Source organism: Homo sapiens, chromosome 4 (genome assembly GCF_000001405.40).
Source record: "Homo sapiens chromosome 4, GRCh38.p14 Primary Assembly".
Taxonomy (NCBI): domain Eukaryota; kingdom Metazoa; phylum Chordata; class Mammalia; order Primates; family Hominidae; genus Homo; species Homo sapiens.
This window is the reverse complement of record NC_000004.12, coordinates 40,207,599-40,234,837: the sequence shown is the minus strand read 5'-3', so window position 1 is coordinate 40,234,837 and position 27,239 is coordinate 40,207,599. Positions and strand designations below refer to the sequence as shown.

The 27,239-nt window shown below is 41.5% G+C and overlaps 1 protein-coding gene across 15 annotated transcripts in view, besides 2 other annotated features; it reads right to left on the bottom strand.

The window, feature by feature from the left end:
• Window positions 1-27,239, bottom strand: part of RHOH (ras homolog family member H) — a 55,888-nt gene that overhangs the window by 12,130 nt on the left and 16,519 nt on the right. Inside the window, exon 2 of one of the 15 annotated variants that reach the window (NM_001278361.2) lies at window positions 22,047-22,174. The exons of 12 other annotated variants lie outside the window; for them this stretch is intronic. The gene's annotated coding sequence lies outside the window, so the exon portion shown is untranslated. Of the gene's footprint in view, window positions 1-16,539; window positions 16,692-22,046; window positions 22,175-27,239 lie in introns of all 15 variants that reach the window. 2 more of the 15 variants (NM_001440378.1, NM_001278360.2) reach the window with 2 other exon arrangements.
• Window positions 7,260-7,309: an enhancer, noted in NCBI's record as "active region_21481". NCBI's record gives its function as "activates an Ori minimal core promoter by ATAC-STARR-seq in GM12878 lymphoblastoid cells {active_cell/tissue: GM12878}" and the evidence as "EXISTENCE:reporter gene assay evidence [ECO:0000049][PMID:35858748]".
• Window positions 21,387-21,436: an enhancer, noted in NCBI's record as "active region_21480". NCBI's record gives its function as "activates an Ori minimal core promoter by ATAC-STARR-seq in GM12878 lymphoblastoid cells {active_cell/tissue: GM12878}" and the evidence as "EXISTENCE:reporter gene assay evidence [ECO:0000049][PMID:35858748]".

Genomic DNA, 27,239 nt, shown 5'->3' with positions numbered 1-27,239 from the left:
TGGAAGGACCACTTGAGGCCAGGAGTTCAATGCCAGCCTGGGCAACATAGCAAGACCCTGTTTCTACAAAAAAAAAAAAAAAAAAAAAAAAAAGATGCTGATTTGCAACTTTTAACATAAGTTCACCAGAATAAAAAATGTTAAGCAGTATTTATGTTCCTAAGCCTGAAGCATATTAAACCCCTTTATAGTTGAATTAAAACAAAACATTGCCAAGTCCTGAAGCCTTTTATTATTTCAACATATTAAGCTCTGAAGCCTCTCTGAGCCGTGTGTCCTGCCCTCTGGTCCCCAATCACACCGGGACCGTGGTCCCCTTCCCCTCCTCTGGTCCAGCAACTCTGCCCTGACTGGTCTCTTCCACTCCCAGGAGCACAATCAAGGAATCGTTGCCTGAGGTCTAGAGTTCTTAGTCCGGTTCAATTTCAGAGTCAAATACAAGACTAGCCAGCTAGGCAACCACCCAGAGCACCCTTAGAAACTCATCTCAAAACTAAAGTGATGGGGAAATGCATTTCCTACTTCTTTTCTCAAAATAGTTGGAATAGCCTGAAAAACTGCTTGGAGTTGAGGGTGCAACCCCAAGAGGTGTGCTCAGGGAAGGACACGTGGTCTCTGAACTTCTTTTAGGGAATGTGGATCTTGTTTACCAAAGACTCGTGTTTTCTCAGTTGGGTATCCATGTTTGGGGCCTGAGCTGAACTGTTCTAGGAAAAAGAGAGCAAAAAGGCAAATCATGCCTATCTAATCATTCTATAATGTCACGATGCTATAAAGTAAGGTTGTCAAACTATGGCCCACGCATGGCTGAATCCAGCCCGCCACCTGGTTTTGTAGGGCCATAAATTGAGAATGGTTTTTACATTTTATTTCATTTTATTTTATTTTATTTTATTTTATTTTATTTTATTTGAGAGGGAGTATTACTCTGTCGCCCAGGCTGGACTGCAGTGGCATGATCCCGGCTCACTGCAACCTCTGCCTCCCAAGTTCAAGCGATTCTCCTGCCTCAGCCTCCCAAGTAGCTGGGATTACAGGTGGTTTTTACATTTTTTAATGGTTGAAAAAAATCCAAAGGAGGAAAATATTTTATGACATGTGAAAATTATATGAAATTCAAGTTTCAGGTTTCACAAATAGCATTTTATTGGAACACAGTCATGCCCATTCATTGACATGTTGCCTATGACTGCTTTCTCGCTGCAACATAAAGTTGCAACCAAGCCTAAAATATTTTCAATTTGGTCTTTACACAAAAAAGTTTGCCAACTCCTACTAGACAGAAAGGTAGTTCAGAGTAAGAAGGGGCATGTAGACCTGGGGTCAGGCAGGCTTGGGTTTGGCTCCAATGTCTGCCACTTAAATGTGTGACCTTGGGGCAATTACTTAACGTCTCTGACCTTCGGTTCCTTTGACAACAAAGTCAACTATGCATAGTGTCTACAGCACAGACTCTGGAACCATACTGCCTTTCAGCCCCACTGGCTATGTGATCTCATAAAGGTCACTTAACTTCTCTAAGCCCCTCTTCCCTAATTGTAAATAGGCAATAATAACGGTGCCTACCTGGTGTGAGTTGGTTGATGGTATTATTTTTAATAATAAAAATTAAAATAAAATAATGATACCTACCTTACAAGGTGGTTGTACAGAATTAAATGGGTAGTGCATGTAAACCACATTGAATAGTGCCTGGCACAGAGTGAGTACCGTAGAAGTATTTACCATTATTATAATTTACCTTGAGGGGTTGTCGTAAGATGGTTCTGAGCTAGTGTATGTCATGAGCCTAAAACAGTGCCTGGAACAAAACAGGTACTAGCAAATAGTAGCTGCTATGATGATGATGATATGAACCAGTACTACAGACACACAGGAGAGGGAGCATTAATTCTCGAGATGGGAGAAAGGAGTGGTGATTTGGGAGCCCCGCATTTAAAAGGTGACAGCTGATCTGTAGGATGAGTAAGATTTTGATAAGCAACAGAGAAGAAAGGCTTTGGGGGTGGGGAGAAGCATGTGCAAAGGCCCAGGGGCATGAAAATACATGTTTGATTTGGGGAAGTAGAAGAAGTTCAGGGAGGTTGCACTGTGGGCTGCTCAGTGGGGAGCAGGAAGTGGCCGGTGGAGGGATTATGGGAGATGAGCCTGTGATTTTATACAATCCAAGGTTGCCTTCTGCTCATCAGCAGCCACAGCACACTATTAGCTCCAGCTGACTCCAGTTAAAATCAGTTAACAGTCAATTAAAATCCCTGGGTCTTTGGCACATAAAATGTTACTAGCCAGGCACAGTGGCTCCTGCCTATAATCCCAGCACTTTGGGAAGCCAAGGCAGGAGGATCACCTGAACCCAGGAGTTCAAGACCAGCCTGGGCAACATGATGAGACCCCTGCCCCCCGCCTCCGGTGCCTCACCACCAAGTCTATACTAAAAAAAAAAAAATTAGCCAGGCATGGTGGAGCATGCCTATAGTCCCAGCTAGTTGGGAGGCTGAGGCAGGAGGATTACTTGAGCCCAGGAAGCTGAAGCTGCAGTAAGCCATTATCACACCACTGCACTCCAGCCTGGGCAACAAAGCAAGACCCTGTCTCAAAAAATAAAAAAACTGTTACCAATCCATTCTCTTTTAACTTAAATGTTACTAACCTCTTTGAGCACCTACTCTGTGTCAGGCATTGAAGCCAAGTTAAAGAAAACACAGCTTCTGCCTTCAAAAAAACTTACAGTCTAATGGCAACACCAGACATAAACTTCAGCAAGGATCTGAGGGAGGAACAAATAAAGTGCCAACAAAGGGAAAAAGGTGCTACCTGCAACTAGCAGGAATCAAGGAAGGCTTTGTGGAGGCCATGGTATTAGAACATGACCCTTAAAACCACTGAGCTTGAGATGCACAGAGAAGAAAGAGAAACATGAGCAATGAAGGAAAAACCTAGGGCACCTAGAAGGGTGAGAGGCAGCTCAGTTGGGCTAAAAGGCGGAGCCCAGAATGGGAGATCAAGCTGGGCTGTAGGAAGCTCATTCTTGTGGCAGGTTAGGCTGGATTGCAGGTGGGAAAGACCAAAGAGGCAAGTGGGAGGCTCCTGCCGTTGGGATCAAGGATGACTTTATCCAGAGCAGATGCTGTGAGACAAGAAAGAGGGAGAGAAGCCCCAGCAACATCCACGAGGCGGAACTGACACGCAGGCCTGAAACAAGGTGATTCTGAGGCTGTAGGCCTGGGGGCCTGGGAGAAGCTGCTGGCAAACATAGGCAGCACCAGAGGAGAGAGACAGATCTGTGAGATCCATGAAGAGGTGGGTGTTTCCCACTGGGGGGCCTGCTGAAGAGACAGAGCGCTTTCAGGAGAGCCACAGGCTGCCGTCATATGACAAGGCTATCGTTTACTGAATGAAGGGGAAGAGAAGTGGGGTAGCCAGGGTCATCTTCCTCTCCCATGAGCTTTGACATGAAATCTTTAGCTAGAAACATGTTCTCTTCTATGTTATGTATAGCAAAAAAAAAAAAAAAAAAAATCACCTAAGAATAGGTGGGTCTTGCACAAACCAATTTGCTCCTATATTGAAATCCATTAACATAACATCGTACGGGTCTATTCACAGACACAGGAAAAGGCTTCCTAAGCTAAATGGGTGGAAAGCAGGTTTCAAAATGGCAGGTTTCAAAATGGCCTGTACAGGAGATTCCAGAGCTGTGAAAATGTCTAGAGTGGTGCCCACTGGCTTGTCTCTGGGTCCTGGGGTTGTATGTGATTCCCATTTTCTTCTCCTTGCTTAAGTGCATTTAAAAATGTGTCCACGATACGCATGTGCTATTTGCGCAGTTTTGAAGAAGTGCTTCCTGTATGTTGTTTTGTCTTTTTAATGTGGTCTCAGAAGGGAACAAAAAGGCTGGGCTGGTCCCTTGAAGCTACAGAAAATTTCTGTGAATCCCTATCAGTGACTCTGAAAATTTTTCTAGGTCTACACTGCTGAATTCGTTTACAATTCCTAGAAGCACTAACTCCAACTTCTGATTCCCTTTTAAAGGTCTGTTTCATTCTCTCCTCCTTGCAAAGGAGATGAGCAAAGCTGAATAATTCTGCCTCCTGAATCACAGCTGTTCATAGCTATCCTCAGCCCCAAGCCACCTCTTCTTTCTTCTTACTCATAAGAGTTTTAAAAGTCCAGGCTGAGAGCCAGGCGCGGTGGCTCACGTCTGTAATCCCAGCACTTTGGGAGGCTAAGGGGGGTGGATCACTTTTAGTAGAGATGGGGTTTTGCCATGTTGCGGATAGTCTTGAACTAGCCGCAACATGGCGAAACCCCATCTCTACTAAAAACACAGACAAAAAAAATTAGCTGGGCCTGGTGGCCTGTGCCTGTAGTCCCAGCTATTCGGGAGGCTGGGTCAGGAAAATCGCTTGAACCTGGGAGGCAGAGGCTGCAGTGAGCTGAGATCACACTACTGCACTCCATCCTGGACAACAGAGGGAGGCCTGGACTCAAAAAAGTCCAGGCCGGGTGCCATGACTCACACCTGTATTCACACACTCTGGGAGGCCAAGGCAGGTGGATCACTTGAGGTCAGGAATTCTAGACCAGCCTGGCCAACATGGCGAAACCCCGTTTCTACTAAAAATACAAAAATTAGCCCGTCATGGTGGTTAATAATCCCAGCTACTCAGGAGGCTGTAGCAGGAGAATCGCTTGAACTTAGGAGGCAGAGGTCGCAGTGAGGGGGGATCGTGCCACTGCACTCCAGCCTGGATGGCAGAGTGAGACTCCGTCTCAAAAAAAAAAGAAGTCCTTTTTATATTCTTTTAGATATTCAAATAAATATGAATATGGCCTGGGTATTAGATGACATTTAAGAACTATTGCTAATTTTGTTAGGTGATAACTGTATTGTCAGGTCCTTATTTATCAATCAATTTGTCAATTGTATTTTAAGGCCCTTATCTGATAGAGATGTTGATGTATTGATGAGGAAAATCAATAAGATGTCAGGGATTTATTTTATATTATTCCAGAAAACAAGCAAAAACAATGGATAAAGTAAGATTGGAAAAGTGTTAAGAACTATTGAGGTTGAGTGGTGGGTATACAGGGGTATATTAGCCTATTCTCTCCTCTTTGGTGTAGCTTCAAAACTTTTCGTGTTAAAAGTTTTAAAGCGTGGGGGCTTTTGTTTTCTTTCTTTCTTTTTTTTTTTTTTTTTGAGATGGCGTTTCACTCTTGTTGCCCAGGCTGGAGTGCAATGGCAAGATCTCAACTCACTGCAACCTCCACCCCCAAGGTTCAAGCGATTCTCCTGCCTCAGCCTCCCGAGTAGCTCAGACTACAGGCATGTGCCACCATGCCAGCTAATTTTGTACTTTTAGTAGAGACGGGGTTTCTCCATGTTGGTCAGGCTGGTCTCAAACTCCCGACCTCAGGTGATCCACCCTCCTCAGCCTTCCAAAGTGTTGGGATTACAGGTGTGAGCCACCGCGCCAGGTCCCAAGCTGTAGTTTTATTCTTACTCTCTGGTTATAGAGAAAATGCAGAAAAGCATCACCAAAAGAGAAAAGTATACTTTACGCTATAGTGACTTTTTCAAGTATTTGAAGGCATGTTCATGGAAGTGGCAAAAGGATGACAGCACAGAGGCTTAGAGCCTGCCTCCTGGTGGAGGGATATGGAAGAGGAAAGCCACAGTCCTGGGTAAGGATTCCCAGACAAGTCAGGGAAGAAAATCTTGCGCTTCAATACAGACTCTACCTGCAACTCAGTAAGACATCACTATCTATTCCTGGGAAGTAAGGGCCATCTCTAGAACATAAGCCAAAGGAGGCCAAAGGAGGCCCCTGAGATGACCCAAACTCAACTTTCTAACTGGTATCGTTACCTTCACTAACTTCCCTCGGCCCTCCCTGGGTAGAATTCTGCAGAATTAGCTCTTTGCAAAAGAACAAACGTCATAATGAAAATACCTTAAAAAGAAAAGAAACTCAAGAGTGAAAATGCATTACCCACACGAAACCAGATGAGAAGTCAAAGTAACTCTGAGAGTGAGGAAGACCCTCTGCCCTGGGGGTTCTTGTTGTCTGAAAAGGTGAGGGGGCTTTGGAGGTTTCTATCTTAGTATTTTGTGTTTTCCCCTTAGACGTAAACGTAGCCTTTGTCTGTGAAAATATGAAATCTGCCTGATGTCTGGATAGACCTCCACCAAGTTCAAGATACTTCCCAGCTGTAAAGCACCATCTCTGACTAAGAAAACCATCACATCTCAAGGTTCCCCCCATCCCCAACCCCAGAACCACCAACCACCACCACCATCCAACACACATATTTAAGCCATTGGTGGTGGACAGCATTTCCTGCTTTTACTTGCTGGTCCAAACAGATTGAAGATGACCTCCCTATTGTAACTTCTCTCCTCATTTTTTCCAGACCATTTCTATATATCCTATTTTCTGATTATAAAAGTAGTACATACACATTATAGAACATTTCGAAAACACTGATCCAAAGAAGATAAAAATCAGTTACCACCTAGAACCAAAAGCTGTAAAATATTAGCATACATTTTTCTGGGGTTTTTTATTCAGTGCATCATTTTTTTCCAAAACTAAGAATACCATACTTTATATGCAGTTTGGCATCTTGTTTTTCTTAATTTAACATTTAGGTCTTAATTTAACATTCTATGTCAAGATTCTTGACATAGAAAATGGCTGCATAAAATTTCATTATGTAAATATAGCATCATTTATTTAACCAATTGCCTACTGTTGGATAGTTTAATAATTCCTTATTTTCACTATAGCAACATTGAGTGAATATTTTTAATATAAATATATGATTATTTCTTTAGGATAAATAGATATGAGAGCAACTGCTGGAACAGAAGAGATAAAAAATTGAACCAATTTATATTCCATGTATGGGCCTATCACTGCATCTCTCTATCAACTCTCACTGGGTATAATATTTGCAAGTTTGACTTGTTTTCATTTGCATTTCATTTACAACTGGTGAAGATTAAAATTTTCTCATCTGTTTCTTGACAACATATATTTTTTCTTTTGTAAGTCATCAGTTTTACCTACTTTTCCAGCAAGACGGTCATTGTTTCTTAATGACTTTTAAAATCCTTTTAGAGATTAAGGATATTAATCTTTTATGATTAAATGTGTTGCAAATATATATATATATATAGTGCCCAGGTATTCTGGGAATTCCCCAGATTCCTGGTACTCCCCCTTCACTGAGCAAACCCTAAACAGAATGTAAAGTAGCATGTTCCCTGCTGCGGAAAAAAAACTCAGCATGATGAGATGCCTGAAAGGTCATCTAATTCAACATACTCATTTCTCCCATGAGGAAACCAAGGACTTGAGAGAAGTGGTTAAGCTGCTGGGGGCCCACACGAGGCCCAGAAACTGAACCAGCTGAGTCAGCACACTTTCCATCTACACAGGATTTTTTCAGATACACATTATGCCTACATTGTATAGCCCATACTTAATTTCCTTAATATTTTAAGCACAATGCTCATATAGCTAGATAGACATGCCAAATTATTCACACAGTAGCAACCTTTATTTCTTTGCCTTTTTCCCACAGAAAGATTTTATTGTGTACTGATGGCTTTTTACTCAAAAGGTAGCTGTCAATGTTTTTTGTTTGTTTTTGTTTTTGTTTTTTGTTTGCTTGTTTTCAGAGTCTCACTGTCACCCAGGCTGGAGTGCAGTGGCGAGATCGGCTCACTGCAACCTCCACCTCTCAGGTTCAAGTGATTCTCGTGTCTCAGCCTCCCGAGTAGCTGGAATTACAGGCATGCACCACCACACCCGGATAATTTTTGTATTTTTAGTAGAAACGGGATTTCGCCATGTTGGCCAGGCTGGTCTCGAACTCCTGACCTCAAGTGATCCACCTGCCTTGGCCTCCCAAAGTGCTGAGATTACAGGCGTGAGCCACCACACCCAGCCACAGCTCCCAGTTTTAATATAAAAATACTTTTTAAACACCTGTTCCCTTTCTCATCCACTTCCTTCGAGATGGATCATCTCTTTTTAGGAGAAATCATTAAGCTTTCCAGCATTCTCTAGAAGTAGGATAACCCCTTAACTTGCAGATTGCTTAAGCTATAAAAGAAGTCAAGGCATTTAATAATTTGTTCTGGATATGCAGCCCAGAGCACTGGAAGGAGTGAGGTGATTTAGTTTTAGTTTCAGTGTGTAAGGCTGCCGATATGCAATTGTTTGCAAAGGGCCCATGTTGTGGAGTTGACAGTCACGGTTAGATATTTTTTTCTTTTTCTTTTTTTTTTTTTTTTTTTGAGATGGAGTTTCACTCTTGTTACCCAGGCTGGAGTGCAATGGCGTGATCTCGGCTCACCACAAACTCCACCTCCTGGGTTCATGCGATTCTCCTGCCTCAGCCTCCCAAGTAGCTGGAATAACAGGCATGCGCCACCACACCCAGCTAATTTTGTATTTTTAGTAGAGATGGGGTTTCTCCATGTTGGTCAGGCTAGTCTTGAACTCCCGACCTCAGGTGATCCGCCCGCCTCAGCCTCCCAAAGTGCTGGGACTACAGGCATGAGCCACCGCACCCAGACAGTCACGGTTAGATTTTCATCTCCCTTGCTGAGCAGCAGTATAACCTTGGGCAAGTCACATAACTACAACTGCAAAATGTGAATTAATCATGCATCGTTTGCAGGATTTTTTTTTTAAGGCAACTGAAAAGAATCTATCTCCCATGCCTAGATGAATGCCTGGCCCTTAGCAGATAAGGATAACAATAAACACATTTGCCAGACGCTGTTTGAAGTGCTTTATAAAAATTACCTCCTTTAATCATTACAACAAGACTGCATGTGGTCAATATCATTTTTGTCTCATTTTTACAGCTGGGGGAACTAGGGCACAGAGAAGTAAAGTACCTTGTCCAAGATGACAAGCTAATGAGAAGAGATGCTGGGGTTCAGACTCTGGCAGTCCAGCCTCTGAGCCCATTCATAGGTCTCTACCTCCCCTCTCCCTACCTCTCTCTTAGTGAGAGCCTGCCTATCCTTCAAACCTTGATGAAACTGAGCAATCCTAAAACAGTGGCAGAGGGTGAGGAAGAAAGGCCGGAAATACATTTTTCTGCTGGTGGGTGATTTCCTTCTTACTACAAGCCTGATTTCTTACAGCATTTTAAAGATTCTTCCTCAGTCAGACACTCTCACACACCATTTGATGAGCAGAAGACCACCATCTTTGCAGAGCGCACTTGAACAGAATCCAGCGGCGTCCTTCGTGTATTTGACACCCACAACTGATCATCTATCAACCTCTCTCCTCTAGGTGACAAAATTATTTTCCTAGCAATGCGTAAGAATCAGGAACAGACTGTTTATTTTTTATTCCTTCTTTAGCTTTAAAAGAAACAAGTTACTTTTTTTTTTAATTGAACTTTAAAAAAATCATTCAGGTCAGGTGTACTGGCCGACATCTATAATCCCAGAACTTTGGAAGGCCGAGGCAGGAGGATTGCTCAAGGCCAGGAGTTTGAGACCAGCCTGGGAAACACAGCAAGATTAGCCGGGTGTGGTGGTGCATGCCTGTAAGTCCAGCTACTTGGGAGGCTGAGATATGAGAATCACTTGAACCTGGGAGGTGGAGGTTGCAGTGAGCCGATTTCGCCAGTGCACTCCAGCCTAGGTGACAAAGTGAGACTGTCTGAAAACAAACAAACAAAAAACAAAAATGAACAAACATCTCTACCAAAAAGTTCTTTTAATTAGTTGGGCATGGTAGCATGTACCTGTAGCCTTAGCTACTCAGGAGGCTGAGACAGGGAATGGCTTGAGCCCAGGAGATCAAGGCTGCAGTGAGCCATGATCACAACACTGCACTCCAGCCTGGATGACAAAGTGAGACCCTGTCTCTAAAAAATAATAACAATAATTCAGTAAGATATTTCATGTATGAATTAAAACTTGCACTTACCAATCAGCATTAATTATACTTTGTAGTTTGCATTCTCCTTTGTTGTTTCAAATTTAAATACAAAACTCTGAGAGAATAACGGAATTGAGGTAACTCGAGTTCTGTTCCGGGGTTTCTACAATCACTGTGCTATCATTGTTTATGTCTAATCTGCAGCTTAAACTCAGGACTATGCTGTGCCATAGAAGCTGAAGATGCAACTTGGCCCCAAAGCTCTAGTGAAAGCTGTACACACCATTAAGAACTTACTCTGACTTTTTCACTGCCAGCGCATGGTGATAATAAAAAACAGACCCACACTGGTTTTATTACTGTTTTAAAATTCTATATAAATGATATACCCCCTTACTTCCTGTACTTAGGGGGGACCCCTTGCACCACTCCATCCTTTAAGTCCTTGCCAGTATCTATTAAACTTTTAAATGCGGAGACCTTTTAATCCAGCAATTCCAATTCTTTCAACACGTTGTACTGATGTGTCTACACAAGTAGTCAAGATATGCAAGAATTTCCATTGCTACATTATTCACGACAGCAAAAAAAGAACTGGAAAGATCTGAAAGGTCCATTAAGACGCAGGGGTTAAATTAATTATGCCATATCCATTCGATAGAATCCACTCAGCATTAGAAGGAATTAGGTCAGCCTGTTCGTATTGCCCAGGAAGGGTATGATATACAGACATACCTTACAGATATCGCGGGTTCAGTTCCAGACCACTGCAATAAAGTGAATCTTGCAATAAAGTGAGTCACACAGTTTTTTTTGTTTCCTAGTGCACATAAAAGTTATGTTGGCCAGGAGCAGTGGCTCGAGCCTGTAATCCCAGCACTTTGGGAGGCCGAGGCAGGCAGATCACCTGAGGTCGAGAGTTCAAGACCAGCCTGACCAACATGGAGAAACCCTGTCTCTACTAAAAATACAAACTTAGCCAGGCATGGTGGCACATGCCTGTAATCCCAGCTACTTGGGAGGCTGAGGCAGGAGAATTGCTTGAACCCAGGAGGCAGAAGTTGCAGTGAGCCAAGATCGTGCCATTGCACTCCAGCCTGGGCAACAAGAGCGAAACTCCATCTCAAAAAAAAAAAAAAAAAAAAAACAAGTTATGTTTACACTATACATGATGTCTAAAAGTATACATGGCTTAATTTAAAAATATTTTATTGCTTAAAAATGCTAACAATACAGCCTGGACAACACAATGGGACTCTGTCTAGATAAAAATTTTTTTTTAATTAGCCAGGTATGGTAATGCACACTTGTAATCCCAGCTACTCAGGAGGCTGAGGTGGGAGGATCACTTGACTCCGGGAGGCTACAGTGAGCTATGATTGCACCACTGCACTCCAGCCTGGGCAACAGAGCAAGACCCTCTCTAAAAAAAAAAAAAAAAAAAAAAAGCTAACAATCATCTGAGCCTTCAGCAAGTCCTAATCTTTTTGCCTCAATGTTGATGGCTGCCAATTGATCAGGGTAGTGGTTGCTGCAGGTTGGAGTGGCTGTGGCTATTTCTTAAAATAAGACAACAATGAAGTTTGCCACACTGATTGATTCTTCCTTTCATGAAAGATTTCTCTGTAGCATGAAATGCATTTTATCCACAGCAGAACTTCTTGCAAATTAGAGCTAATCCTCTCAAACCCTGCCACTGCTTTATCAAGTAAGTTTATGTAATATTCTAAATCTTTTGTTGCCATTTCAACAGTTTTCACAGTATATTCACCAGAAGTAGATTCTGTCTCAAGAAATTACTTTCTTGGCTCATCTGTAAGAAGCAATTCCTCATACATTAAATTTTAACATGAGATTACAGACATTCAGTCCCACCTTCAGCCTCCTCTTCTAATTCTAGCTCTCTTGCTCCTTCTACCACATCTGCAGTTACTTCCTCCACTAGCATCTTAAATCCCTCAAGTCAGTCATGAGGCTTGGAATCAACTTCTTCCAAACTCCAGTTAATGTTGCTATTTTGACCTTCTGCCATGAATCACAAATGTTCTGAATGGCATCTAAAATGGTAGATCCTTTCAGAAGATTTTAAATTTACTTTGCCTAGATTCATCAAAGGAATCACTATCTATAGCAGCTATAGCCTTACAAAATGTATTCTTAAATAATAAGATTTGAAAGTTGAAATGACTCCTTGATCCATGGGTTGCAGAATAGATATTGTGTTAACAGGCATGAAAACAGCATTAATCTCCTTGTACATCTCCATCAGAGCTCTTGGGTGACTAGGTGCGTTGTCCATGAGCTGTAATATTTTGAAAGGAATCTTTTTCCTGAGCAGTAGGTCTCAACAGTGGGCTTAAATTATTCAGTAGACATTGCTGTAAATAGATGTGTTGTCATTCAGGCTTTAGTTGTTCCATTTATAGAGCACAGGCAAAGTAGATTTAGCATAATTCTTAAGGCCCTAGGATCTGTTGGAATGGTAAATGAGTACTGGCTTTACCTTAAAGCAACCAGCTGCATTAGCCCCTAACTAGACAGTCAGCCTGTTCTTTGAAGCTTTGAAGCCAAGTATTGACCTCTTACTAGCTGTGAAAGTCCTAGATGGCATCTTCTTCCAATAGAAGGCCATTTTGTTTCCATTGAAAATTCTATTGTACACTGTAGCCACCTTCATCAATGACCTTAGCTAGATCTTCTGGATAACTTGCTGTAGTTTATTCATCAGGACCTGCTGCCTCTCTTTATACTTTGGTGTTATGAAGATGGCTTCTTTCCTTAAACCTAGTGAACCAACTTCTGCTATCTTCATACTTTTCTTCTGCAGCTTCCTCACTTCATTCAACCTTCATAGAATTGAAGCAAGTTAGGGCCTTGTTCTGGATTAGTCTTTGGCTTAAAGAAATTGTATAGCTGGTTTGATCTTCTACCCAGACCACTAAAGCTTTGTCCAAGCAGTAAGGCTGTTTCACTTCCTTATCATTCATGTGTTCCCAGGAGTTGAACTTTTCATTTCTTCAATAAATTTTCCTTTGCATTGACAACCTGGCTAACTGGCAAGAGACCTAGTTTTCGGCCTCTCTCAGCTTTCAACATGCCTTCCTCATTAAACTTAATGATTTCTAGCTTTTGATTTAAAGTGAGAGACACATGACTCTTCCTTTCACTTAAACACTGAGAGGCCATTATAGGTTTATTAACTGGCCTAATTTCAATATCATTGTGTCTCAGAGAATAGGGAGGCCCAAAGGGAGGAAGAGAGGTGGGGGAACAGCCGGAGCAGTCAGAACACGTACAACATTTATCCATTAAGTTTGCTATCTTATATGGGCATGATTCATCGTGCCCCAAAACAATTGCAACAGTAACATCAAAGATCACTGATCACAGATGACCATAACAGATACAATAATAATGAAAACGTTTGAATTATTTTGAGAATTACCAAAATGTGACAGAGCCATGAAGTGAGCATACGCTGTTGGGAAAATGGTGCCGATAGACTCGCTCAACACAGAGTTGCCACAAACCTTCAGTTTGTGTAAAATGCAATATCTGTGGAGCGCAATCAAATGAGGTATTCCTGTATTAGTAACTGAAAAAAAGCAACCAGTTGAACAATCTGGGAAGGGTTTTCCATTTATGTAGAAAGATAAATGTCCAAACTTTGTCTGGTGCGATCTATCTTCCCTTGCCGAGAAGGACATTGGCCCAGGCAGAGGAAAGGTCTCTGCAATGATGGGTAAATCGAGATTTACTGGGAATTCTCAGCTCACCTTTCACATGTCCCTCTATAGAATAAATTGTACTAGGAACATAGCAGTTACTCCCTCAATTGCCTAAGGGAGAAGAGGAACAAAGAGGAATAATCTAAGAACACAAGTTTATTCAGATTTTCTTAATTTTTTCAATCTTCTTTTGAAATATAGACATATGTACTTTTTATACAGATAATATTATAGATACATAGCAATAGGATAAAATATTTCCTTAGATGCTCAGCTTCTGATTAAGGATCAGAAAGATCAAGAAACTGAGCAAAACAAATATATAATGACCCTGAAACTACCAGGATATTCCAGAGCAAAATTCTTTTTTAATGGTTCAGTTCATTGCTTACGCATATATAGTGTTCTATTAACATGACATTTCAAATCCATAGAAGTCTAAAAAAAGGGACAGAATATCTGCCTTTAATTGTCTTTAAACTAGGCCTACTTTTAAGGAGCCTAATGGGGCAGAAGATAATAAAGAAAATGTTAATGTAGTTTAGACTAGGCCCAGAGGTTAAAAAAATTTTTTTTTTTACTTAGTTAATAATGTCTCTGATCCTCACTTTTTTTTCTCTATAGAAGAAATGATTTCATTTGGAGAGGTCATGCAATGGCCACACAAAGGCAGAATGGTGTGGCTGTACTTCATCACCATAAAGTACCATATAGCTAGGACCTCAGAGAATAAAATGCTAAATTAAAGAGAGGAGACGCAATGTTCTGCGTATAAATGACCTCACTCTCCGGTTCGTCCTGCAAAAAATTAAAATTTAAACAGCCAAGTTCTATAATAAAGGTAAATGCAAAATGCCAAGAGAACACTAAGGACAGAGTGTTAAAATCTTCCAGGGTGGTGGGGTGGGGAGGGGGAGAGGAGGAACATTTGAACTTGGTCTTGGAGGAGAGAAAGAAATAGGACTGGTGGACCGCATGCAGGCAGAGGAAGCGGCTGGTGCCCAGGTGTGCACGTGGGTATTTGGAGAATAGACAGCTGGCTATGGTGGCTGAAGCACAGGTGGAAGATGATGTTGGAAAGGGACAATGGGGCCAATTTGTAAAAAGCCCTTTATGCCATATTAAGTATAAGATAACCTCCATCCAGCCGAGTTCTCTCTCTTTACTTTTCTCCTCGGCCCTGTCCCTGCTTTACCTAGCCAATGCAGTTTCTCATGCATTTTTCTGAAGCTATTACATTATTACATAAATTCACATGCTGTAAGTACGAATGCATATAATAATTACACACACATTTTTATATTCAAACAACAGCATACTACTTTGCTGCAATTTCTCCAGACTATGCAACATTGCTGACACTCTCCCTGGTCTTTCCTGCTTTGACAGCTTCAATCCTGCTGCTGCAAGCTTTCCTGCCCTGGCTCTTCCTGGTGAACTTCTACCCATCCCAGAGCCCAGCTCAGATGCTACCTCTTGTATGAGGCCTTCCCAATAAGCAATATATTTCTCCCTTATTTGAGCTCACATGGCATCTTTAAATGTTTTTACATTTTTTGAATAGTGATTACATGCCTATAGTAACATTTTAAAAGTATAAAAGTGAAAAATATACCTCCCTCCTATGGTGCCCAGGCCATTTTCCCAGACGCAACCATCAGACTAAGTTTCTCATGCATTTTTCCAAAGCTATTACATTATTACATGAATCCACATGCATATATATATGAATGTATGTGTATAATTATCACACACACTTTTTTTTTTTTTTTTTTTGAGATGGAGTCTCACTCTGTCCCCAAGCTGGAGTGCAGTGGTGCGATCTCGGCTCACTGCAACCTCCGCCTCCTGGGTTCAAGTGATTCGCCTGCCTCAGCCTCCCATGTAGCTGGGACTTCAGGCATGTGCCACCATGCCCAGCTAATTTTTGTATTTTTAGTAGAGATGGAGTTTCACCATGTTGGCCAGGATGGTCTCAAACTCCTGACTTCAGGTGATCCACCCACCTTGGCCTCCCAAAGTGCTAGGATTACAGGCGTGAGCCACCGCGCCCAGCCACACACACATTTTTATATACAAACTACAGCATACTATACTGTACTCCATGATGCCTTTCTCACTTAGTAATAGATTGTAAATCTTTTTCCTTATCAGTAGATTGAGTCACCCAACTCTTTCTAAATTCCTTTAGTACAGGACTAAACAATTCCTTCCATTATGGATCAATCTTAAAATACAAATATAATATTAAATATAAATGAAGAGTCAATGTGGTGGTTGAGACTTTCTCACTATACTGTATATAGAGGCAGCTTGTGGTGATCAGAGCCCTGGACTGACCATCAGGCTTGAATCCCAGCTCTACTCCTAGTGACACGACCTTGCTTACGCCATTTAGCCACTCCAAACCTGTTTTTTCATCCGCAAAATGAGGCATTGAACTAGATGGGCTCTCAGGGCCCCTCCAAGGCTGGTAGTTCATGTTTCTGTGAACCATCAATATCACATGCTGCCTTGAGAGCAGATTTGAACAGAGAAAAGGGTGAAGGAGCAGAGAGAGCCTAAAGCTCCTGCCACCAGATGAACTTTTTCCCCTCCCAAGCTGTTCCTCATGCCTTCCTTGACTTCCCTAGCCTTACCTCTCCACCCCCAGCCTTGGCCCTGCATTTTTTGGCATGCCTGCAAAAAAGCCCTCAGCCTGGGCTCATTAGCCGAGCTAAGCACAGGGGGCCCTAGCACGTGTCTGATTTCCAAGACTGTGTTCAGTAGCCCCTGTCTTAGATTTACACAAGGTAGAACAGAATTTGGGCATGTTTTCCTGGGAACATGTTCCAGCCCAGTTTAGAGTCCACTGGTCATTGTAGACAGAACGTGCATATAATAAATACCTGAGAGAGCTCTCGGAAGCTTGGAGAAACCACCAGCTCATCTGCAGACTCTCAGTAGCAGAACAACCACGTGGCCAAGGAGGCTGAGAGGCCTAGAGGTGAGTGTCCTTTGGACTCGATGAAATCCTTCCGTTCTCCAAAGCATCCTCGTGCTTTGCCGGACAAAAAGGCAGCCGTGGGTCATTATCACTCACTTGCCTCCCAAATGTTCATACCAAGGACAGAAGTTTTGTACCTTGTACAAAGCACTCCATACCTTAAAACAGTCAAATATCATGGACCAGATGTCCATCAGGAGAGCAACTGGTATATGCTCTAAACTGGAAAGGTGCTCCCTGACCATCTGCTCTTAGAAGGGTGATTTGTGGCTGTCACTAGGTTACCCACAGCTCCAATATGGAGTTGGACATCCATCTTTGACGCCACTCGAGTAGCACACACAGCTATTATCGACATGTTTGAAACCAGGAGGCATAATCCTAATTCCGTTTCTAGCAGCAGGGACTTTCAGAAAACACACTCCTTGTGGAATTAATTTGCCATTTCTATTTATTTTTGCCTTAATTTGTCTCTACTTCTAAAATACAAGTCAAGCTGCCACACAAAATAACTTGTATAAGGTGGGAGGAAGACAATATGCCTCTTTTATCATTGAATTCCTTACTATTGTAGAACAATATTTAATAATGTGGGGAAAAGTATGTGACAACATTGTTATATGGATCAAAGAAAGGCAAGTTCAAATCGGTATGTGCAACGTAATCCTGATTTTTTAGTAAAAATAGAGAGAGGAAAAAAGTAAGAAACTATACTAAGATTTTAACAATGCTCATACTGGTGCAATTACAAATTTTTTGTGTGTGCTTATCTATGTTTTCTGAGTTTCCTTCACAGACATATACCACTTCTATAACAAAAAAAAAGTAAAAATAAAATCGCATGATCCTTTGTAAAAGAAAATACAAACACATCCTGTCATTTCTTCCCGGGAAGAGGTAACATTTGCTAGTGTCACTGGATAGTCACTTTAAGAAAGTATGGCCCAGCAGGACTGGATCCTGGGTCAGGATTAACCCCTAACTGATGAAATTACTTGAACAACTCCAAGACCCCGACCCTCCTGCCACATCTGACAGAGGAGCAAGTCTCAGTAGGTCTGTAAGTTCCCTTCTCACTCATTCTAGAAGTCCTCAGAGCAGGTCTCTTTCACACACCACTCAAAACAATTTTTTAAATTTGTAATATTCCAGTGATTTGGACTGTGTCCAACCCATCCTGCTCAGCATGCTAGAAAGATTTCTAGGAGAACTAAGATCCTAGGAATATTGGTTTCTTGGATAATATCATTGGATTCCACTGTAATGACTTATGGGAACTTGTTTCCTTTCGTCATTGAGACCAGAATAGTCAAGTTAGTCAAAATCTGAAAGATCATCTTCTAATCCTGCCCCCAAATTTCAGTCATCTGATAACCATATTTGAACTATCATTTATGTGGTATGTTTTAAAAATCAACTCTAAGTGAACTCATATGGCCTTGTCCTAAGCAATTAAATAGATGAAATCATAGATTTGATTGTCACTTATAATTTTTTTCTGAAAACATTCAAAGAAACATATACCTACTAAAAACATTTTTTAAATGCTTGCCCTAAAAAGATCTTGTTTCCCACCATTGGTACACACATTGTGCTTGGGGAAATTTATATCCAATCCAATCCTCAAAGTTTTCAGAGAAACTGACACTTAGAGAAATAAACCTCTTGCCTAAAGAATCATATTTTTGTCAAAAGTCCTTATGTTTTTATTTTTTGTTTCTTTTTTTTTATTGAGATGGAGTCTCACTGTGTCGCCCAGGCTGGAGTGCAGTGGTGCGATCTCGGCTTACTGCCACCTCTGCCTCCCGGGTTGAAGCAATTCTCCTGCCTCAGCCTCTGGAGTAGCTGGGATTACAGGCACCTGCCACCACGCCCGGCTAGTTTTTGTATTTTTAATCGAGACGGGGTTTCACCATGTTGGCCAGGCTGGTCTCAAACTCCTGAGCTCAAGCAATTCACCCACCTCGGTCTCCCAAAGTTCTGGGATTACAAGCATGAGCCCCTGTGCATGGCCTAAAAACCATTTTCTTAAAAGTATCAAAGAGCTAAAAAAAAAAAAAAAAATAGCAACTGTCAGGCCAAAACCTAAGAATAAAGGAGAAGCCAGTGAGGTAAACAGCATTTGTCAGCTGAAAGAAATGGCGATGAAAAAGCGGAAAACGAGCTGCAGTTCCGATGGCTTCATGGGGCAAGGATGACAGAAGTCAAAGGTCAGAGTCCACCCAGGGTGGAAAAACTAATGGACCCCAATATATATATTTTACTTATTTGTTTGTTTTTTGATACAGAGTCTCGCTCTGTCACCCAGGCTGGACTGCAGTGGCGTGATTTTGGCTCACCACCCTCTCCACCTCCCAGGTTCAAGCGATTCTCATGCCTCAGTCTCCTGAGTAGCTGGGATTACAGGCATGCACCACCACACCAGGCTAATTTTTGCATTTTTAGTAGAGATGGGTGTTGGCCAGGCTGGTCTTGAACTCTTGACCTCAAGTGATCCACCCGCCTTGGCCTCCCAAAGTGCTGGGATTACAGGCGTGAGCCACTGCGTCCCACTTCCCAATACATATATTTTAGCCAGAACCCCAAAGGGTACACCATAAGGGTAAGGGTGAGTCAGAAGTAATTCCACCCCCTTCCCTATCCCAAGAAACTGGAGAGGGGCATTACCTTAGACTCTGTTTAGAGAAGGAAGGAAAGGAAGGAGGGAGCGAGGGAGGACCAGGAAAAGACACACAGTGCTTGAAAGATTGGAGTCCACCCAGGTAACTGGCATAAGTTTTCAAAACCCTCTCTGAAGAAATATTTTTATCCGAGGCCTTGGGAAACTCATACCAATCATTTTTCTATGGCAATGAAGAGCCCACAAAGACAGACCTTTTATTATCTTAAGGCATGCATTACTACCTAAAGCAAGAGGGACAAAAGGAGAAGAGAAATTGCGGTGGTGCTCAAAACTCATGGTCTCCTATTTCCCTCATTCTCAGGACTCCAGCTTGGCACCCACTCCTGATACCCCTGATGTCTCGTAAGAGGAACCTCGCTGGACATATGGTGTTGCAGTTTGAAAGAAAATGGGCAGCCTTACCGGGTAGTTTTTATCAAGATAATGAATTTGCCATGTTCTTGGCTTCACCTCTTACCCTCAGAAATCTGATTCCCTCAACTAACAAGAAAGTATATGACTTTACAGTCACAAGATTTGCTTATATATCGGATGCCAATTCATTTGCTGACCATGAGAAACGCAGCTCTCGTCAGGACTAGAATACCATCAACACAGCCTGTGTATTCTTTCCCCACGGGGAGAGCCATTGGAAAGCCAAGCTATGACACCAAGACATTCCCTGGTCAACAGGGACTCAGAGTGGAAGGAGGTGACTGAATGATCCAAGAATATGCATTAGCCTAAGCCTTACCCTCTCCCCCATGGTCTTATCCATGGGATCAAAACTGGGGAAGTCCATTAGCCAAGGTTCTCTCTCCACTGATAATGCATGGATGGGCACTGCCAGAATATGATTCTCAAACATGCCTGTTTTCCATGGATGACTAACTCCCAACTTTCTGATTAGTATCTCTTCATATGAATCCAACTTCTCCAGAGGACTCTAATCCTCTTCATGTAGTAGGCTTCCCTAGGCTTGCCTTGGTAGCCCCAAGCCTACCTGAAATTACTTTCAAGAGACAATTGTAACTCAGAGGCTGAGGTGGGAGGATCGCTTGAGGCCAGGAGTCTGAGACCAGTCTGGGCAATATAGTAAAACTCTGTCTCTAAAAAATAAAAAAGAGACAACAAAGAAATACAAAAGAGCCCACCCCAGGACGTAAGCATTAGCTAACCTTCTGAAATCTCATAACCCCAAAGTGAATTGAAATGTACCAGAGGGTAATCCCCAAACACCATCTACCTTTCTCTAACCACCTCGCCACCTGTGCATGATGCCCATATCTTGTAACCTTCTCGTATACTGTGCAAACATTCATCAGAAAGCTTCCTTCCGCCCCGCCTTCCCCAAAGTGCCACCCGTACCACCATCTGCGAACCAAATAGCAAAGGAGGAGATTAAGGAACCTGCATCACATCAAGCAAGTCTTCACAGTACTGTATGCTTCATGCATTTAAGCTTTTAAAATAAAGGAACTAGGCCAGGCACAGTGGCTCACACCTGTAATCCCAACACTTTGGGAAGCTGAGGCGGGCAGATCACTTGAGCACAGGAGTTTGAGAGCAGTCTGGCCAACATGGTGAAACCCTGTCTCCACTAAAAATACAAAAATTAGCCGGGCGTGGTGGCACACACCTGTAATCCCAGCTACTCAGGAGGCTGAGCAGGAGAATCACTTAAACCTGGGAGGCGGAAGTTGCAGTGACTGGGGATCATGCCACTGCACTCCAGCCTGGGAGACAGAGCAAGACTCTATCTCAACAAAAAAGAAAAATTTTTAAAAAGGAACTAGAAGAAGGAAAATTACAATGGAGAGGCTCAGGAGCAGCGGTCTAGGGCAGCTGTCCTCAGATGACCCATCTGAGTGCAATCGCTACCCAGGTACCATCTGGAATTTTTGCCTCCACTCCTCTCTCACCAGAGCGATTCTTTGGTAACTAGGAACTATGCCCTCACATCTGTTGTTATTAGTTGTCTTAACCAGACCCTAACAAGGATTTTTTTTAGAGAATTTTTGTTTTGTTTTGTATGAAGAAATCTTACTAAATCTGACTAAAATTAAATTTTAAAACCTCCCAGAAGACTCTTCCGTGTTCCATTTCCCATGAGGCTTTACAAACCTGGCCCAAGATGGGTGTGTGTGTGAGAGAGAGAGAGAGAGAAAAAAAAAAAAAGAGAAACGAGAGAGAGAGAGAGAGAAGTCAGGAACTAGAAGAGTGAGACCCACACTTGCCATTTTTCTAAAACAAGGTTCAAGGCAACTTTCACTATCATAGTTAGCTACCCATGGGTAAACTGTGTCTCCTCTTTTTTGCACCGTTGTTCACATAATGATACAGAGGGTTTTGTTTTTGTACCACACAAAAAGTCTGTTTTCCCTTCTCCCTCTTTTAATGATATTCTCCTGGCTGAATTCTAGTGTCTTCCCAACCATGAGTCATCTCTGCTATTCCTGCATAAAGTAGAGTGTTCTGGGCCTCTCACTTCTAAGAAGGACTATAGTTTAGAAAAATCTGATAAGATGATAAGATCCCCACAGCACACGTCTCGCTCTGAGATTATTAGGGACTCAGTTTAGGGGAACCTTCCCTATAGGGAGATGGCAAAGGAAGCAGTTCCCCAATCTATCAGCAGTGGCTGCCATCCACATGATAAGGATCCCCTGCAAGGAAGTCTGACCCTGGGGGTTTCAGCCAGCTGGCACGGCCAGCATCCAACAAGTCCCCATCAGGGAGCATCTTACCAGAAGGTCCCTGCTTACATGGAGTGAATCAAGGGTGATAAAAAGTCCTCTCCCTACCAAATATATCTTCCATCCTTGGAGCAGCCCTTTCTCTTGAGGTTTGGTACTTTGTTGAAATGCAAATATCCCTGAAAGGTAAAGACTTTTTTTTACCATTAGCATGTTTACACAAATGTGCATCCAGTCCCATTCTTTCCTCAAAGCCAGTTTTGATTGGAGGAGAAGGAAGTTTTTTAAAAAATCACCTATATACAAAAGAGAGGTGAGGATCAGAAGATATATCTTCCTGGGCATTAATCCTATTCTCTCGCCCATTCCCAGCTAAGTGCAAGCCCTCGTTGACTTCAAATAGCACCGGTAGCCCACCAGTTTTCCATGTCATCTGTGGATTATCTGAAGTGACATTAATCTGAACTCTCAACAATATCAATCATGCAATAATTCCTCAAACGTGTTGCACTCTGACGATAGGCTGGCAATATTCTAGATTTTGCACAGAGGACAAAGGAAACTGAGGAAGTCTAATCCATCCCAAGGTCAAGTGTCCAATGTATGGATGAAGATTGCCTAGGTTCATAATATTGATCATAACGAAGATGTTAAGGAAGGATTTGGCAGTTAATTCGCTTCATTTGCTATCCACCCTACAGTCCTAGGAAGTATCTGTATTCATAATTTATAAAGCAGTTGAGGCCCAGGGTAGTGAAGTCAGGGCAGCCTCCAAATTTAATCATCTAAATCATTATGTACCCTGGGAGTTGTTTACAATGTTTTCCTGGGAAGATGTATTTTTAAAGCATCGGATGACTCAGAAGCATAGTCCAGCTGGAGGAATACTGTTAGACAGCTCGGGGCAGCTTTCTCAGACAGCTTTTCATTTGACCATCACAATTCGAGAAGGAAGGATTTTGACATTATAATTCCCATTTTACAACTGAAGCAGCTTAGGCACAGAAAAAACAATCCAGCTAAAAAGTAAAACAAAACAAAACAAATCTTCTCTCTTTTTCCATTTTATTTCCTTTTCATCTCTTACAAACAAACTAACGGAACTATCAGAACTAATTATCTCATGCACAATCATTTATGACTCCACTGTTTGCAAAACCTCTTTTGGTCTTTGTACCATCCACATAAGAGCAATCAAACAGCTCGCTAAAAATCCTGTGAAACTACCCCCAAGACATCACCTATGACGCTTAAATGTCTTCCTGCATCACTTCATTTTTGCCATTAAAAATAATCAACATTACACTTTGGGAGGCCGAGGCAGGCGGATCACTTGAGGCCGGGAGTTCAAGACCAGCCTGGCCAACATAGTGAAAGCCCGTCTCTGCTAAAAATACAACAACAAAAAAATTAGCCAGGCATGGTGGTACACGTCTGTAATCCCAGCTACTTGTGAGGCTGAGGCACAAGAATCTCTTGAGCCCAGGAGGCAGAGGTTGCAGTGAGCTGAGATTGCACCACTGCACTCTGGCCTCGGTGAGAAAGAGAGAGGCTGTCTCAAAATAAATAAATAAATAAAATTTAAAAAAAATAGAAATAAAGTATATGTTAAATAAAATGTTGTTTGTTCCATTCAACTTACAAAACATACCTCTTGAGGGACTAGTGTGCTAATATACAAAGATATACATCGAAATAAGACACAGTTCCCACTTTTAAGATGTTTACAGTACAATGAGAGAAGACCAACAACAATTACAACATAAAGTAAGCTGTTCATTAATTTAATGTATGACATTCTCTACGGCACGCATTGTTAGTTTGCCACTCCATACCTGTGCCTCTCTTTGTCATCAGTAATAGATAATACGTAAGCTTCAGGCAATGGATCATGTTTGGTCTAGCCCAGTATTTCTCAACTTTTTTTCAACATCATCTCCCTAAGAGCATTTTTAGACGCTTTTTTCCTAATTGCCCCATGCATGAAATTTTAATACCATAGACAAATTATATGTCTGCATATATGCTGTATGTATAACTGTGCTTTATACATATAGAGTGGGATATTTTTCCTGCCTTTTCCCTCCCACAAAAGCAATATCCTTCCCTTAAGGGATGATATCAACAGCACCACCCCATCTACGCCCCACCACAACCCTCACCCTATTCTCCACCATGTTCCCCACACCCACCCACCCTGCCTGTTAGGAATGTATGCTCTAAGGGAATTGTTAATAATAAGTCTATTTCCTGTTTCCCACCTTCACGGCAGCTGGAGTGGCTGTGTAACCTAGTTCTACCAATGACACGGAAGCTGATATCTGGGAGGCCTCCGGGAAAATTCTTGGTTTCCTGGAAAATGAGACAACCACTGCCAACTCATCCTCCTTTCCACCCCAACCTTCCCGTGCGTCTTGAATGGAGTACATGGCTAGAAGCTGCAGCAATCATCGTGCAGCCATGACAAAAGACAACAAAATGGCAGGCAGTCTTATTGAGCCATTGGCCCAGGGCCGGAAACGCAGACCTCCGAATTCCTGTTACGTGGAGAAATGAATCCTGGTTGCTTTAAGTCCCCGTTGGTAGGTATTGTATCACTTTCAATTACACAATTGTTATACAAAGCATTGTTCATTGATCAGCTGGGTTCATTACAAGCAATAGCTGTCCTCTTATGATCATGAATTATTGTTAAACCAAGCCGGAAAGAAACACAGAAACACACACACACACACACACACACACACACACACGCACACAATGTAATCAGGAATATTACACAAATCAGACACGAGATTTCACTCCGTTTAAGAGGAAAAGTCTTTTTCACTAAACGAATCAACTTTTCAAAGAGTTATATGATATTCCAACTAATATTTGGCATTTTGAATTAACAAACTTTTAGATATTTGGTATTACTGTGTAGAGAAATGGCCATGAAAAGATACAAGGTAATTTTCCTTTATTTTCCTACTTTACACAGAATGAATATATTTATGATTTACCTAGAAGATATGTCTTTCAAAATATTTGAAAGTCAATTCTTTTCTAATTGAATATTTAAGATGCATAAGGAAAATGTGCTTCTTAAAGGATCTCTTGACTGGGCGCCATGGCTCAGGCCTGTAATCCCAGCACTTTGGGAGGCCGAGGTGGGTGAATATGCTTGAAGAATTCAAGACCAGTCTGGGCAACATGGTGAAACCCCATCTCTACAAAAAAATACAAAACTTAGCCGGCATGGTGGTGCATTCCTGTAGTCCCAGCAATTCGGGAGGCTGAGGTGGGAGAATCACCTGACCCCAGGAGGTGGAAGGTGCAGTGAGCCATCATCATGCCACTGCACTCTAGCCTGGGCAACAGAGTGACATCCTGTCTCACTAAAAGAAAAAAGAAAAAAAAATCTCTTTGGGAACCTTTTTACAGGTTAAAATGTAGAAATAATCGTCTGTATTCATCACTTGAATATTTTATATTTTGCTTAAAGCCTGATACTAGCTAATGCTAATTATCTCATATTTTAAAAACAGAAACCACTCACAAACTTAACTGATAATTCCAACATCTCTCACTAAAAGTCGTTTTCTATGCTTTGAGAAACTCAAAATCCCTCTAAATCTAAAGAGCCTCTAAATTTTATTAGATACAATTTAATTATAGACTTAGGGCTTTCAAAGCATTAGGTTTCTTTCAAAATGTCAGAAAAAACTCTCATGTCAGAATCATTTTAACTAATTTCTTTATTAACCTCACACCAAAAACTGACATTCTGTTAATAAGGATTATTGGCCTTTTTTATATACAAACAATATATGCTACTTATAAAAAAGACAGGAAAAAATGAAAAACATTTTAAATCATGTAATCTTATCACACACTAGATAATTTCTAACATATTTATTTACCTCCATATTCTGAATTCATGTATAAGAATACATATATAGGCCTTTTTATATTATAAATACAAATATTATATGTATATATTTTTTGAGACAGGGTCTCACTTTGTCACCTTTATCACCTTATACATTTCTGTTGGGCATTTTAAGTTGTTTCTTGGTTTCTCTATTATTAGCAGACACCATTGTGTTGAGAAGTCTTGCTTTTATAATAAAACACCTTGCGTTGTTGTCTTAGGAATAATTCTTAAACATGGTCAAAGACTATGAACAATTTAAAGCTGATCATTCATGTTGCTGCCCAAAACTCACAATTTTTCTGAAAAAAGGCCTTTCGAAAGCCTCCTAAAAAAATTCAAAATAATAATTGAGAACAGAGCATATTAAGTGGAGAGAAGAAGGAATATTTAGCTCGTTTTCCTGACTGGCTGATGATATTGTTTATAAATTGTACTTTGGCCAATATTTGGTAGGAAAAGAAAAAACTTGATTATAATTTAAAAGTTTCTAAGCAAACCTTAAAGACTATAAAGGCAACTGAACTTGTTATTTATTCTGCATTTTACATTGGTTACTAATTCGTTAATGAAACAGTTCTTAAGAGTTGTTAAGCACTCCCAAAATTGGCAAAGGAAACAAAAAGTAACTATAATTAATGGATAAAATAATGAGCTACGTACCTGTTGAGAAATAAAATCAATCACGACCAAATTTATAAAGGAAGGAGCACTAACATTTAAATTCCAAATAGCTCGATTGATTGTAGGGAAATAAAAAGAGTATGATCATTTTAGTCCTCCAAAGAAAGGACAAGTAAATCAGAGGAAGCTGGAAGATAATATAACTTTTTAAGGTTGATCGGTCACAGGTCCAAAAAAAAGTAGATATAAACGTAGGCTGAAAACGCTGGTGATTTTTTTTTTTAACACAATTGTACCATCTAGTTTTTTTAAATTATTATTTATTTATTTGTTTTTTGAGACCAAGTCTCACTCTGTTGCCCAGGCTGGAGTGCAGTGGCATGATCTCAGCTCACTGCAACCTCCGCCTCCTGGGTTCAAGCAATTCTGTGCCTCAGCCTCCCATGTAGCTGGGATTACAGGTGTGAGCAACCACGCCTGGCTAATTTTTGTATTTTTAGTAGAGACCAGGTTTCACTATGTTGGCCAGGCTGGTCTCGAACTCCTGACCTCAGGTAATCCGTTCGCCTTGGCCTCCCAAAGTGCCGGGATTACAGGCGTGAGCCACAGTGCCCGGCCACCATCTAGTTTTTAAACAGAAACCACAAGCATCTAGCCCCTGCTGGAGGAGAAACTTTAATTTTTCCTTCCATATATGTGTGTGA